General features: G+C 41.3%; 2 protein-coding genes, 1 long non-coding RNA gene and 1 pseudogene across 11 annotated transcripts in view, besides 4 other annotated features; 2 read left to right on the top strand and 2 right to left on the bottom strand.

The window, feature by feature from the left end:
* LOC101929710 (uncharacterized) overlaps nt 1-13,569 on the bottom strand; it is a 669,085-nt gene extending 655,516 nt beyond the window's left edge. The window contains exon 1 of the long non-coding RNA NR_130776.1: nt 13,534-13,569. This is a non-coding gene — a long non-coding RNA (uncharacterized LOC101929710). The remainder of the gene's footprint in view (nt 1-13,533) is intronic.
* The window catches only part of CAST (calpastatin), an 813,255-nt gene extending 799,114 nt beyond the window's left edge, over nt 1-14,141 (bottom strand). For 5 of the 8 annotated variants that reach the window (NR_186779.1, NM_001423254.1, NM_001423259.1 and 2 more), the window contains exon 1: nt 13,984-14,141. The gene's annotated coding sequence lies outside the window, so the exon portion shown is untranslated. Of the gene's footprint in view, nt 1-1,087; nt 1,196-13,533; nt 13,570-13,983 lie in introns of those variants that run through there. The other 3 variants (NM_001423251.1, NM_001423256.1, NM_001423250.1) reach the window with 2 other exon arrangements.
* FABP5P5 (fatty acid binding protein 5 pseudogene 5) lies at nt 2,116-2,603 on the top strand (annotated as a pseudogene).
* Nucleotides 13,110-13,867: an enhancer, noted in NCBI's record as "H3K27ac hESC enhancer chr5:95297407-95298164 (GRCh37/hg19 assembly coordinates)". NCBI's record gives its function as "activates a minimal SCP1, AML or CMV promoter by ChIP-STARR-seq in naive H9 embryonic stem cells {active_cell/tissue: H9 hESC(naive)}" and the evidence as "EXISTENCE:reporter gene assay evidence [ECO:0000049][PMID:30033119]".
* Nucleotides 13,163-13,630: a silencer, noted in NCBI's record as "fragment chr5:95297644-95298111 (GRCh37/hg19 assembly coordinates)". NCBI's record gives its function as "represses an EF-1alpha promoter that drives an FKBP-Casp9 reporter gene in an ReSE screen in HepG2 liver carcinoma cells {active_cell/tissue: HepG2}" and the evidence as "EXISTENCE:reporter gene assay evidence [ECO:0000049][PMID:32094911]".
* Nucleotides 13,586-13,825: a silencer, noted in NCBI's record as "silent region_16190". NCBI's record gives its function as "represses an Ori minimal core promoter by ATAC-STARR-seq in GM12878 lymphoblastoid cells {active_cell/tissue: GM12878}" and the evidence as "EXISTENCE:reporter gene assay evidence [ECO:0000049][PMID:35858748]".
* Nucleotides 13,719-15,218, top strand: part of ELL2 (elongation factor for RNA polymerase II 2) — a 76,754-nt gene continuing 75,254 nt past the window's right edge. For both annotated transcript variants that reach the window (NM_012081.6, XM_017009239.2), the window contains exon 1: nt 13,719-13,995. In NM_012081.6, the coding sequence (NP_036213.2) occupies nt 13,849-13,995 (147 nt within the window). In that variant the 5' untranslated portion in view covers nt 13,719-13,848. The remainder of the gene's footprint in view (nt 13,996-15,218) is intronic.
* Nucleotides 13,896-14,305: a silencer, noted in NCBI's record as "silent region_16189". NCBI's record gives its function as "represses an Ori minimal core promoter by ATAC-STARR-seq in GM12878 lymphoblastoid cells {active_cell/tissue: GM12878}" and the evidence as "EXISTENCE:reporter gene assay evidence [ECO:0000049][PMID:35858748]".

Here is a 15,218-nt window from a genome sequence, read left to right as displayed (position 1 = left end):
ACTTACTTGTACTATGTGAAAGAGTATTTTAAAAATTCAGTTGAACGGTAATTTAAAAATTCAGTTGAAGTGTAATAGTTTTTGTTAGGAGAATTTTGCAACCTTTTGAGAAACGAGTCAGGGTGCCAAACAGAGTGGGTTTGTTTTTAAAATGCAGATTCTTGTCCACTCCCCAGACCTAATAAATCAAAACCTCTGAGGGCTGGGGCCCAGGGACCTAAAGTTTAACAAGCTCCTCAGGTAATTCTTATGTACACTAAAGCTTGAGAATGTCTGCCCTAGGGTATCGCCAACCCAAAGATAAAATCACTTGTTACTACCAAATGTTATAAAATGTTGCACTGCTAGCACTACCTAATTGGCTATAGGAAACCAGCACTTCTTAGCATTAGAAAAATTTCCATCACAATTTGACTTTCTCATACTTAGGGGTGTGACTTTATATGCAGTGATGCTGAAGAAATCTGGCCCATCCTGTGAAGGCTGCTGGTAATAGGCTCCCCTTCTGCCCATGCATGCCACTGGTACCATGATTGGTAGGTCCCTAATGTAATCACAGTCCTCCTCCTTCATGGCATGCTCTGCTCTCTCCTCATCTCTAAAGTAAGGACAATTGTTATTCCATGTGCAACTGCTGAAAATTGTTTTTAAAAAAGTAAGGACAATGTTAATTTTGCATAACTCATAAAAACCAGTACAACTTTCCCTTATCAATATTTTAAAATGTATATTTCTTATATTGTTCTTTCATTATATTTACAACAGCTTGTCCTTATGGTTGTAAACCATAAGGGATTGACCCTTAACAAACTTTTTAAAATAATATTCATAAGCTTATCAGAGTAAGGAAATGACAAAAACAAAGCAAAGGATGAAACTGGCTTCAGTAGCACAAGAGAAAGGCCATCCCCTCAAGATATGTGAAGCTATCCCCTCAAGCACTTAATAATTCTTTCACCAAATCCAAATGTAACAAGTCATATCTTAGGCTGGAAATGTTTTGCCTTTTGCAGAATATCAGAAGCCAGAAAGCTTCGAAAACTATTAAAGAATTCATAACACAAGTATCTTTTTTAAGAGAAGTTACCTTGCTTGTTTGTTTTTCAGGAAGAAATAATAGCTGGTACAAACACTTGATGAAAACAACATTTATCTCTCTATTGAATTTCCACAGAAACTGGAAATTGGAGCGTACCTGTTAAAGTAAAAAGTTCAGTTGCTGAGGCACTAGAAATCAAACTGCTTTCAAAAAGAAAATTCTCCCAATCAGACACCATTCAGCCTAGGTCTATTAGCGTCACTTGTCAAAAGGCAGAAATCTTAAGTGGGATGAATCATAACAGCTGGTTCCCACCAACTGACACTCCACCAGACAGGAAGCTGGTTATCAATGGGTGGTAAGGTGTCACCACTGTCCAGGCAGCTTGGTCAGAGTGATGGGGCCTGTAAGAGTTGGTAGCTCCCTGGAAAGCCCCTTGAGGGAATGTCTGCAGATGATAGGGTCAGTAGATGGTTTTTGGTTTGTGTGGGTGAGTGGGGGTGTGTGTGTGTGTGTGTGTGTGTGTGCGTGCAAATTTTTGCATTTTGACTTTGATGCAGAGAAACTCAACTTAAATGCTGTAGTGTACACGGGTCTTTTTTCTACACAGGGAAAGGCTACAAGAAGTATAGCTACAACCCTTCTGAGTCACTATATAAACTGAATGAACATTGAAGATAAAATTGTTGAGAAATAATCCATTTGCTTGGATAAGAAGACTGAAAAGGAAACTGATTAGGATGCTTGAGAGAATTTGTTTCTTTCTTGCAGAGATGTTCTAAAGTTAATTATACTATAAAGCTACAATAATCATGACAGTGGGTACTGATGAAAGCAGAGACACGTAGATCAATGTAGCATAGAGTGCAGAAATACATCCATACAAATACTGTAGTCAACTGATTTTTTTACTTAGGTGCAAATACAGTTCAATGGAAAAAAACGATTGTCTTTTTAACAAATAGTACTAACCCAAATGCCAAAAAATCACCCCAGACACGTATCTCACACCTTATACAAAAAACCTGGCTCAATATCCTACCCCCACCCCTGAGCCAGACCCTACTCTGCTCATACACCCATGCTGGCCACCATTCAGCAGCTGGAAGGACAATAGCATCGAGTGGACAGCAAATGCTTTGATGAATACACGATGGAACTAGGAGTGGGAATAGTTCTGTGAAAAATGCATGCAATGGCCCAACCAGATTGTAACATCTCTTGTAACAGCAAAAACCATCATAAACACTGAGAGCACTCTGAAACCAACACAGTTCTCTTGTACCCTGGTGGAGAAGTTTGAAGAAACTACAGCTAATAGCAGAAAAACACAGACTGTCCACAACTTCATACATGGCACATTGGTTCAACATCAGGAATGGAAAGGAAAGGAAAGCACAATAACAAGAAAGTTAAAAAATGGAAAATTAATGGTGGACCGCATCCTGAACAATGTCACCTGTACTCAGGTCTACAAAAAAGTAGAATAAAAATTCTTTCATCACTTTGGAAAGTAATTAGCTGAGAGAATGAACAAGCTCAGTTCAACAAGCAAACCTCCATAAGTATCTTATGTGCAATTAATTTAAAGTGCTGGTTTAATTAGGATCATCCCTTCGGTTCGTAAAGAAATGTACTTGTGCTAATAAAAAATCAACTTGAAATGGGCCATAAACTTAAATGTAAATGTAAAACTGTAAAACACTTAGAAGAAAATGTATAGGAAAATATTTGTGACCTTGAGCTAGGCAAAGAGTTCTTAGATATAACACCAAAAGCACTATCAGAACAAGGAAAAAAAATTGATAAACTGGACTTCATCAAAATCAAAAACTTTTTTTGCTCTGCAAAAGATACTTTAAGAGAAAGAAAAAACAAGGCAGGGACTGGGGGAAAATGTTTTTGAATCATGTATCTAGATTATATAAAAATCATCAAACCTTAATATGAAAGCAACTCTTTTTTTTAAAAGGACAAAAGATCTGAAAAGACACTTCAACAAAAAATATATACTAATGGCAAACAAACACATGGATATATGGTCTATATTACTAGTCATTAGGGAAATGGAAACCAAAACCACAATGAGATACTACTATGTATGCTCTAGAATGACTTAAAAAAAAAACCTGACAATGCCAAGTGCTGACAAGTACACAGAAAAACTTGAATTCTCAAATGCAAAATGGTACAGTCACTATGAGCAATAGTTGGGCAGCTTATTATAATGTTAAATATACACTTACTATACATAATAATCCCACTCTTAAGTATTCACCCAAGGGAAATAAGACTTGGCTGAACATAGTGGCTCACACCTGTAAACCCAACACTTTGGGAGGCTGTTTGAGACCAGCCTGGGCAACACAGTGAGACCTTATATCTACAAAATAAAAAGAAAATAATTAGCTGTGTTTGGTGGCATGCCCTGTAGTCCCAGCCATTAGGGAGGCTGAGATGTGAGAATGGCTTGAAGCCAGGACTTTCAGGCTGCAGTGAGCTATGACTGAGCCACTCCACTCCAGCCTGGGTAACAGCAGGGGGACCCTGTTTCAAAAAAAAAAAAAAAAGAAATAAAAGAAATAAACAAAGAAGACATATTTACATAAAAACCATTTGTGAATGTTTGTAACAGCTTTATTTACAATCACCCAAAATTGGGTATAATGTAAATATCCTTCAGCTGGCAGCTAAACCGTGAAGGACCCATAAATGGAATAGTATTGAGCAATAAAAAGGAACAAACTACGGGTACCTGCAACAACACGGATGAATCTCAAATGCATTATGCTAAGTGAAAGAAGCCAGACTCAAAAGCCTACATAATGTATGATTCCATGTGTATGACATCCTAGAAAAGGCCAAACCATAGTGATGGAAAATAGATCAGTAGTTGTTAGGGGTTAAGGGTGGGTGGCAGGAAGATCTGACTACAAAGGGACAATGTATTTTCAAGGAGTTCCTTCGAGGAGGTAATAGAATTGTTCTGTTTGTCGAATTTTTGATATAAAATATATACCAAAAAGAGTAAATTTTACTGTATGTAAATTAAAAATACATTTTAAAAAGGTTACCTGAGCTAACACTTAAATATTTTATAGTAAATTTTCTGGGATAATTGTCATTGCAAACTCAAAAGTGCCTTCAAATTTTCTATTTTTAAAGTACATTTCCAATGCCATGCTTCTGTTTTGGCAAATATTCAAAAATTACATTTAATTAATCTGTGCAAGCCTATATGCTTACAATGAGTATGTAAAATATAGGGTAATTTTAAAAACACAAGATACAAACTTTAAAAAAGAGATTCAGGAACCTAAAAATGAGGCAAATATACTTAGTCAATATACCAAGTCAGAATCTATTTAGGAAAGACTTCTTCCTCTATGTAAAAACAAAATTTTTCAACACTTGACAAAGCTAAATCATGATGCTTGGCTTTCTATGCTATTGAAGTTTAATACAATCTGTTGACTCCAGTCTCAGTATACTCATCAGGGGTCACAGTCATAATAGATCATCAACATTATGAACTGTTGTTTTTGAGAAATGTGGATAATCCCCATTAGAGGCTAATACTCTTTTTGCAGGTAAATCAAATTATACCTTATACTTCTTATATTTTTTGTGCTGGTTTAGTTGAGAAATATTGGAGAGAAAAGTCACAATTCAAATACTTGATGCTTTTAAATTATCCAGAATCATTTTATACATGAGTGATTTATTCAAGGCAAAGATTAGAGGGACAGAATCAGAAACAGAGAGCAGTTCTCCTTATTCTCAGTTAATAGCCCAGCTTCTAAAATCAGATCACAGGTTATTAAACACATTTCTATTCATTAGTCATCATTAAAGTTCATTTGCTATGACAATTTGAAAGTGGCCTTATCTCTGTTAGTACTATGCAATAATATCGGCTCTCAGAGATAAATGTATTCCTTTCCTTTTCCAGATGCATAACATTCCCTAGGATCAAACTGAAATGTTGAGTCATTTAGGACAGATAATATTCAGTGCACACTCAGCAAACTTTATTCAATATGTGGCTACTACCAAAAGCAATGATCTTTCATTAAATGCTTGTTGCAAATTATCATTTAAGCTTCACATTGTTCATTATTTACACTGGCAGTACCCTATTTCCAATTCCCAAATGACACAGAGCCTCCTCTGATCATTCATCTCTCTGCTTACTTTCTCCCTAGTAATCTCTTTTGTTCTCTTTACTTTCCAGATCAAAGTGCCTTCAGGCTTCCCAATAACTGCCTACAACAGTGAATGGCCTTTTCTGCCATTCCCAATGAGTAAGGTAAGCAAGGTCAACACATCACGATGGGTGTGCACCGAATAAGTGCAACGCCTAAGGAGTGGTTATTAATTCCAAAGCTTTTTCCTTCACTCAAAAAACATGCGTGAAGCAAGTGACTTAGAGTGATGTTATCACTAGGAAAATCTTGGAAATATACACAGGGATACATGCAAACATCCCTCAAGCATAAGATACCTGTGTTAGTAAGAGTGGCCCACCATAGTCATAATTCTAAATAAGAAGGAAGTGTGTTGCCATTAGAGTGGGCATGAAATTTAGGAATATTCCCCAATTCTTTTTCTCATCCTCTTTCTTCATAACCTCCCTCAGAAAACTTGCTCAATTTCACAATCTCTACTATTACTCAATAGGTTGACTCTGAGGCCTAAGACTCACATTTTCAAATGCCTGCCAGACATTTAATCCACTGATACCGCTAACCTAAACAAGGTCTTTCTCCTGATTCCCTTGTTTCTTTTCATATAATATTATCTTCTAGTAAACCAAACTTGAAGCTAGTAGTTACTTTTAATTCCTCATGCTCATTCACCTCTCATACTCAAATAAAGCTGCCAAATCAGCCAACTCTACCTTCACAGAGCCATGATATTCTTCTCCTTTTCTCCATTCCCATCATTAATACCCTAGTACAAGGCCTCATTACTTTTTGCCTCCTAACTCTGCTCTTTTTTGTCATAATCACTCCCCCTCCACTTGTAGTACCTTATTTCAAATTCCCAAATGATACAGAGCCTCCTCTGATCATTGGTCTCCCCGCTTACTTTCCCCATAGTAATCTCTTTTGTTCCCTTTACTTTCCCAAATCAAAGTGCCTTCAGGCTTCCCAATAACTGCCTACAACAGTGAATCCATTCCAATCCATTACTTATACTTTTGTCACCTGAACAGTCCTAACATATAGATTAGATCATGCTACTTCCTGTTCGGAAGCCTCCAACAGTTCCCCATTGCTCACAGATCGAAGTCCATATTCCTTAACCCAATACTAAAAGCTCTCCTCACAATCTGTCCCCAATCCATCTTTATTGGCTCCATCTGTCACAATCACCTTCGAGCACCACATATTCCTGTGAAAACAGATTACTGTCTTTCCCCCAAAACACCGTATGATAGCTCATAAGATCCTTAAACTTAGAATATTTTAATACTCCCATTATCGCAGATAGAAAACTTTGACATTCCAGTGCTAACTCTTCCATGGAGCTTTTCCCAACACCCTGAGCTGAATATGTTCTCACAATCCATAACTCCTCCATCACTGAATTAGTCCCTGCATAGTGCTTCTCACCTAGTAGGTCTTATCTTCACCTCTTACATCCTCTATTAGACTATACTGCTTGTTTCTAATTCTGTAAATATTCTAACCTATAAGGGTCATATTGGTTTTTAATTTTCCAAAACCCAAGGCAAAAGCAAACGTTCCCAATATTGGAGGCCATAACAGATGCAAAGATCAAAGATGATAAATATGATACTTGAATAAACAGCTGAATGAGAATACAATGAAATCAGCTAGGGCTACAATTCTAAGTCAAAACAAAGAAGTCTTCTGTGTCCGTATGTGTTGATATATTTCTTCTCTGCTTTTTGTCATGACATGTTGTGGAAACCATGTCATAAAGTGAGAGATACAGTCCCGCGGGAAGAGTGATATTATAGGGGATGTGTATTTGACCAAAGATTCCTTATTAAATAAGCGACAGATATGAACAACATGCAATAAAAACAAAGATATATCAACTGTAAATCTTTCCAATAATTTAAAATCATAATCTGAGCTTTTTCAAATGGGCACCTATGCGCTGTGCATATTTGTTATACCAAGGGTTCTAATATATCACAAATTATATATACCACACATAAAAATAGAATTAACTTTCATAAATCTCATTAAAGTCAATATGCTAGCTATAATAAACCAAAGCTGAATGGATCATTTTATTTGCCTTGTTGCTATTTAGAAGGATATTGGGTGTTTGTGTGGAAAGAGTTATTCAAATGACTTAAGTCTTGCTTTCAAGACCAACAAAAAAACCAGCCCCCAACCTGCCCATGGAAGTAGAACCAACCATTTTCTCTTTATTAATTTCACTGTGATAACCTGACACATTCATTATAATTCCTCAGACCTTATAGCCATGTTCAAAGGTAGATATGCGAGATTTGGAAAAGGAAATCTCAGGTTCTAGCCTGGCTCTGTCACTTATCAAGTGAGTGATACATACCCTTTCTGCGCCTCAGTTACCTAAAAGGTAACTATAGTATAAAACAATGGCTACCTCAGAGTTACACAGAAAATTCAGAGATAGTGTAACTAAATTGCTTTTAAACTTCAAAACCCCATCAAGAATAAGCTTTTTTATTTATGTATTAGTCTGTTCTCATGCTTCTAATGAAGACATAAACAAGACTGGGTAATTTATAAAGGTAAGAGGTTTAATTGACTCACAGTTCAGTGTGGCTGGGGAAGCCTCAGGAAACTAACAATCATGGTGGAAGGGGAAGCAAACACGTCCTTCTTCACATGGCGACAGCAACGAGCAGTGCCAAGCAAAGAGGGAAAACTCCTTATAAAACCATCAGATCTTGTGAGAACTCACTCACTGTTAGAAGAACAGTAGCATGGCGGTAACTGTCCCCATGATTCAATTACCTCCCATTGGGTCCCTCCCACAACATTTGGGGATTATGGGAACTACAATTCAGGATGAGATTTGGGTGTGGACACAGCCAAACCACATCAATTTACTTATTTATTTATTTATTTATTTATTTATTTATTTAAAGATAGGGTCTCACTACATTGTCTGGGCTGGAATGCAGTGTCTATTCATAGGAAGGATCATAGTGGACTGCAGCCTCAAACTGCTGGACTCAAAGAATCCTTCTGCCTCAGCCTCCTGAGTAGCTGGGACTACAGTATCACACAACTGCACCTGACAAGAATAAGCTATTATTAATTATCAAAATCATTCTTGAGGCTGATGGCATTTGGTCCACTATTAGCATGTTTAAAAGTGAAAGGCTAAACAAACATTCCCTCCCCACCCCATGTCTTCCTAACTCCTCAGTTTATTCAGAAATACATTTGCTCCTTTTTAGTACAAAACAGCATGGAAATGGTAAGAGTTGTTAGGTCACTCTTTACCACTCTTCTCCTTTTCAGAGCCTATATGATATCTTTCAGGGCACTCTGCACTACACTGAATAGCCATAAAACAATTATCATCTGGGAGAATGGCCACTTTGGTCACTATGCTGGACATAGTTCAGTTCTGTGGACAGGACATTTTCTTCAATCAGGGAAGAAGGGGAGAATTTTCTTGGTGTTTAGAGGAATCAAATCTGAGTCCTTTTGCCTCCAAAGGACATACAACTTTCTAGAGACTGCTCTTAATGTGGAGAAAGGCAAGGAATAGAGAGAGGGGAAAAAAGCTAAAAAGGTATTAATGAAGACTGAGTATCTCCATCTTAGGAAGCTAACGTGCATGTGTATTCAATACATGTGAAAGGAGAGATAGCCCTGGCCACCTAGCCTTCTACTCAGCCCCATTAAGAGTGAAGAAGGGCTTTGAACTGGAAGGGAGGAGGGACTTTCCTTACTTCCAAATCACAATTTTTTTTTTTAAATAACCAGACTCTTCTAGAAAGAGAAAGGAACTTTGGAGACTAAGAAAGTGTACAGGTAGATGTCCCCAGATGGGATAACACCTCCTAATCCTGGGAAGAAGCAGAGGCTGCCAGCCCCAGGAAGTGCACAGCCCAAGTCCAGTGTCCTTTCAGTACCTCAATAAGTATACACCTGGGGAGGGAGGCTTGACTTTGCTGAGGCTAGAACCCCAGGGCTGCCAGTTTCAGCAAAGTTCTCAGATAAGCGATTCCTTTCAGAAAATCATATGGACATGGTCCATCATCATATTACAAGGCTAGGGAGGGTTTTAGCCTCCCTTCTCATAATCCCCATCAGTGCCACTTAACCCTACCCCCATAAAAATACACAACATAAGTAAACACAGTATGTTTGCTCTACAAACACACTTTCAATTCAGGTCCTCTATTTCCTTCTATCTAGGTTGCGCTCCATCCCAAACCCTTCCTAAAAAGAAACTCTTGAGCCTCTAAAGGATTATACCAGCAGAGATGGACCTAGATTAGAGAGCCCTCCCCATATATTCTGGAGCCTTTGTATGACTTGTAAATTAACTGTCCTACTACTCAGATGGGGAACTCAGAGCCAAATTTAGCAATAATGATGATGATGATAATAATAATAATGCAATGTAACATTTCTTGTACTTAGAGTAAATATTCACACAATACAATAAAAATTATTCAACTTAAAACCTGTATTTACATAACAAAATCTATGCCCTAACTATAGGTATCTTACTTTTATTCTCTATGAATATCTGCTGAAGTACTTTTAAAACTATCAAGCTTCCACTTCAATTGTGCCCAAGGCAAGGAAATTTAGTACATTTTAGATTTTAGTACATGGCTGGGCAAAGTCTTGAAGGGAGAGCAGTGTAATGATTGGGTCAAACACAACCATTGCACAAGGGAGCAAGCAGCACTGGGGAAGAGAATTTAAAAGGGAAAGATTTTCTCTCTGGAAATTCTACATTGAGAGAGCTTCTGTGCTATAACTCTATAAGGTTCTATGTTCTCTTTTTGTAACAGAAGCCATTGCCTTGTATTAAGACATTAATAAGAATTAACTTTTTGTATAGATGAGTTTAAGAAATAACCTGCAAAACTGCTAATACAGGTATAAGACAGAATGCCCTTCTGCATTGGCAGTCACTACAGCAGATTTGGAAAACTAGAAACCTGTGGGCTAACTTTGGCCTAAAACTTTTTTAGTGTCCAGAAAATGCTTATTAAAATTTTTAACTTAAGTGTTACAGAATAAATATTAGGAGATTTACATAAAAATCTTTGTTTCTCAGCTTTAAAAAAAAACAGAAGATCTGGCAACATTGGGCCACCTTATGTTCACCTGGCAACAATCAGCTGAACCAAGAAATCACTGAGCCCTTTAAACCTCCCAGCTCACTACCGTCCAGCATCTTCAGTCCCTATGACATTGTATCTGCCCTCTTTCACTCATTTGGATATCCAGTGGTCCCTGAAGGCATCTGAATTGGTGACCTCTGTACCAAAGATGTGAGAAACAGTCATTAAATATGCAGCAACCTGGAATGAGGGGTGGCCCAGCATTTGAATGCCAGAGAAGGCCTTGATAGTCACATATCCTTTGCCAGCACTGTATACTAGACATGAGAGATGGAGCAGGCCCTGCATCAAATTCCTTTTAGCCTTTTTCCTGCACTGAACTGTCTTATATGACAGATTTCTTCTCAGTTATTAAATCTAATCCATAGCTACTCAGTGTATATAAGGACTGGAAGGACATTTAAAGAGCTGATTCCGACCCTGCCTCTCCTGGTTATGTTAGGCAGGTTGCTTTTAAATAAATGGGGGTCTCAGTTCCTCCTTCATAAAACTAATGTGTCCACCTGGAATCATCATGAAGATCATTTTTAGTTGGGCTGTCTCCATCTATACCACCTCCAACTTATCTAGAATCTACTCAACCCTCAAGAGCTGTTCAAGTTCTATCACCTCCATTAAACCTCTTCAGACTTCTCCTTTCTTTGAATTTTTGAGCTTATCACCAACACCGTCCAAATTAGCATTTACTAATTTTCTAATTGCTTTGCTTTGACTATACTGGTTCACTTGCCACACTGAAACAGAAAATTCCTCTAGAGACTTTACAGTTTAATTTTTAAATCCTCTACCGCATGTTATACTTAACTGGTATTCAATGATTATTTAATTATTTAAACCAGATAAAGATACAGAAAATATGTATAAAATGGCAACCTTCCCAAAAAGCACCTTTCATCAGCCTCCTCAAAATAAATTATCCTAACCAGCATCATAACTTGACCATCTGATTCAGGCAGGCGTAATGTGTACTATGCCTGTGAGACATCAATGAAAAGACACTGCTAGATTACCATATTACTTTGTACTTGATCATTTCCTCCTTCCACAGTTGAAAAGCTCAAAAGGGGAAAAATACAAACAACCATTAACTCACTACAATAATATATTAATCCGTGAAAGATTTGTTACCCACTAAAATAGGGCATGAGAAAAATTTTCCTATTATAATTTTTAAAAAAAGTCAATTACTAGTAAGAAGCTACAGGTCAGATATTTGAAAACTACAACGAAAACCATCCTTACTCCTCCCCCACCCGCTTGGATGTCATCAGAAATTCTGAGTAAGAGTAGGCCAAGTTAGGATATCATGTGGGTGGGGATTTACCCACATTCACCGGAAAAGCAGTGGGATACAGGTTTTACTTGTTCCGGTCAAACCTCCCTTCCCCCTCACCTCCCAAATAATTAAGGCTTTAGCTATGTGCTCAGTCCTTTACTATCAAAAAAAAAAAAAAAAAAAGAGAGAGAGAAAAGAAAAGTTCAAGTACAGAATTATTTTTAGATTATAGTCCGCTTAGAGATGAACTATTTGAATAAGGTTTCTACTTTTGGAAAGCGGAGAAAACTAGGTAGTAAAGCCTCTATTTCCCTTCTAAGAGTAAACTTTTTAATCCAATTTGATGATTACCTTAATATCTCTACTACATGAATTTAAGATAACACTGTATCACTAAAGTAAATGAAATTAGCAAGCGTTAATCACGTCTTAACAGCTAGCCAATCTTAGTGGATTGAAATTAAGTCAATTTACAAACTGTTTTCCTGTGATGGAGTAACACTTAATACAGGTGTTTCCACTTAATCCAATTCATTCTGTAATTCACATTATACACCTACTATGTTTGAAGGTCTGAATCAAAAAGGAGTGTACCCGTACGGTGGGGAAGGCATTTATTGGGAGGGGAGGACATGGAATCATGGCCCTAATCCATTTAAAATAATGAAAAATACTGATTAAATATCTATAAACTTTCCCGGGGAATCCCAGTAGAACAGAACATGGTTTTATAAGCTGAGGGTAAAAACAAGCGTCTCAGTTTTTTTATTAAAAGAACTTTTTTAAACTGCCTTTCAACAGTTTGAAAGCTTTCAATGGTTTGTTTTATCTGGTGTTTCTGATCAACCAATTAATCCATCCTCTGACAGGAACCCATCTGTCAGTCTATCCACACACAATCTGAAAGGGACTCCAGATTAGGCTCCCTCTTTTAGCCACGCCTACACAGGAAGCATCCTGTGGATGGAATGGAAAGTATGCCAGGCCTTTGCACGCCCCTCACGCCCCCATCTCCTTCGCTTAACCTCGACAGCCTCTTACCTTTAAACCCTAGCTAGGTTTTCACACAGCCCTATCAAATAAAAAGGACAATACTCAAACTGAATTAGAGAATGAGAATTGTCGAGGTTTCTTTTAATTTAGATCAATGCCAGTTTTACTCTTCTTCTAGAGTCCTTTTTAAGGAGATATCATCCCCACCAGTTGTGATCCCAGAGAATCACAACAGGGCATGGCGTAGGAAAGACCTCGAAGCTCAATTCTCTATTATACCATGCCCACCATACGAAAGGCATTTAACCTCCCGCGTGATTTTGTCCTTAAGATGCTCCACAAGATCTAACACAACTCCTACATCTAAGAGTCGACTCACTAATTTCAAGGGTTTTTGTTTTTGTTTTTGTTTTTATAAGCTCTGCGTGTGGCACCCGATAACTTCAAGTTTAGAGTGAGCAGTTTCCTCCCAATGCCGTTTGCTCAACTACAGTACTAGGAGTTTTGAGGAGCAGCTCTCTAGCGAGTCCTCCTGCTGCGTCCTCCCCCACACGCACGCACCAAGTTCCACAGCTTCCGCAGCCGTCGGGGAACAAAGTCCTTATTTGGTCACGGCCATCCCCTTACATAGTGGAGGTGGAGATCCTCCTCTCCAAGGACCACCCGCGTAGGGCGAGATTCCCCAATTCTGACTTTTCACTACTATCCCCCACAGGGGCGGGGCTCCAACTCCAGGTAACCAGACCAGGCAACCTGGACTTCCAATTAGCAGGGGAGTCCCCAAGCCAGCCTGGCCAATCTCGGCCGGCTAGCCAAGACGACCAGACGTGACGTCAGACATGATTAAGTTGGCGCGTCACCTAGACGTCAGCCTCTTACCTCTCGGACGTCCCGTCCCAGGAGCAAAACTCTAGTGACTTTGGGCCCGCCCCCGTGAGAGTGGAGGGCGGCCGATGAGGGCGGTTCTGAAGGGAACAAGACCAATGAGACGAGCCCGGGGCGGGGCGCGGGGCCGGAGGGTGGGGCGGGTGGCGGCGGTGGCAGTCCGAGGTCTGGCTCCGCGCAGTATATGACAGTACGTCAGCAGCGGGATGGCCCTAGCAGTGGCGGCGGCTGCAGAAGCCCAAGCAGCCGCGGCCGCAGTGGAGGCTAGAGCCGGAGCGGCGGCGGCGGCGGCACCCCGGGGAGTTTAAGATGGCGGCGGGGGGGACAGGGGGCCTGCGGGAGGAGCAGCGCTATGGGCTGTCGTGCGGACGGCTGGGGCAGGACAACATCACCGTACTGCATGTGAAGCTCACCGAGACGGCGATCCGGGCGCTCGAGACTTACCAGAGCCACAAGGTGAGCGGGCCGGCCGGCAGGCTGGGCTCAGAGAGGCAGAGCGCACCCCTCACGGCCTGGCCGCGCCCGGGTGCGGGGCCGGCGGAGCCGTGGCTGGCAGCTGCTACCGTCAGCGCCCGCAGCGGCCAGGCAGGGCAGGGCCGGGCAGGGTGGCTGACGCCGCGGTCCCGGGCTAGCCTGGGCGTTGGGGAAGCGGGCAGTCGGGCGGCCCCTGGCGGCGGGGCCGAGGCAGCCGCAGCCCTGGGTCGGCTGCGCTGCCGCTGCGGGACTTTCCGACGGCCCCCGAGGATTTCCTGGCTTGTTGGGTCCCAAGGAGGGAGAGAGGCCCCGATAAGAGAAGTGAGATGACCACGCTACCCTCGGCGGGGAAGGAGGGTAGCGAGCAGCGTATGGGCAAGGAACCAGGGACGACTCGCGGGCACCAGCTGCCCGCGTTTTCCAGTTACATAGGCACGGTGGATCCTCAGAGACAGGACACAGGCGCTCCGCGTGTGGGGGTGGGACCTTGTATTCCCAGGGACTTGGGGACACAGGCGCTCCACGTATCAGGGGACACACTGTGTGCTCGAAGGGATGGGGACTCGGGCGCATGGTGAGGGGCACACGGTGTACTCATAGAGATAGGGACTTAGGCAGTCCGTGTAAGGGGGCGGCGCACACTGGAACGGCGGGGACACTGGCGCTTCGCGTACGGGGGGGGAGGGGACACACCTGCATTCCCAGGGACTCCGGGACACCGGCGCATCGCGTTACTGGAGACGCGCCGCGTCCAGGACGGACACAAACCAACACAGTGCCCTGGGGAGAGACCTGAGGACTCACGCACACTTAGCGCTCCCCGGGAGCAAGACATCGGGTTCTGGAGAGAGAGGTTCACGGACGCTCAACGTACCCGAAAAAGCTCCCGGCGTCTTGGGCTGACTCTGGGAAGTGTAAACGGGGAACGAGCCAGAGCCAGAAGGTGTGGGGAGGATACAATGCATCCCGGGCAGAGACTCGGGCCTCTCACCCCTCGTTTTCGAGAGAAGCCCATGGACACACACACACACATATACACACACACCCCTCCAGTACAGAGAGAGGCTCAGATAGGCGCACATACACTGTAATTGGACTACAAATCCAGACGCTTTCATGTTGGAAAAAAAATGGGAGAGACAGGGAAGCACCGAGAAGGGACGCGGTAACCAGGGTGCATGGGGAAACAGTTTATGGACATGCAG

The sequence above is a fragment of the Homo sapiens genome, chromosome 5 (genome assembly GCF_000001405.40).
Source record: "Homo sapiens chromosome 5, GRCh38.p14 Primary Assembly".
NCBI lineage: Eukaryota > Metazoa > Chordata > Mammalia > Primates > Hominidae > Homo > Homo sapiens.
The sequence above is the reverse complement of the archived record's forward strand: the minus strand, read 5'-3'. Positions and strand labels throughout refer to the sequence as shown.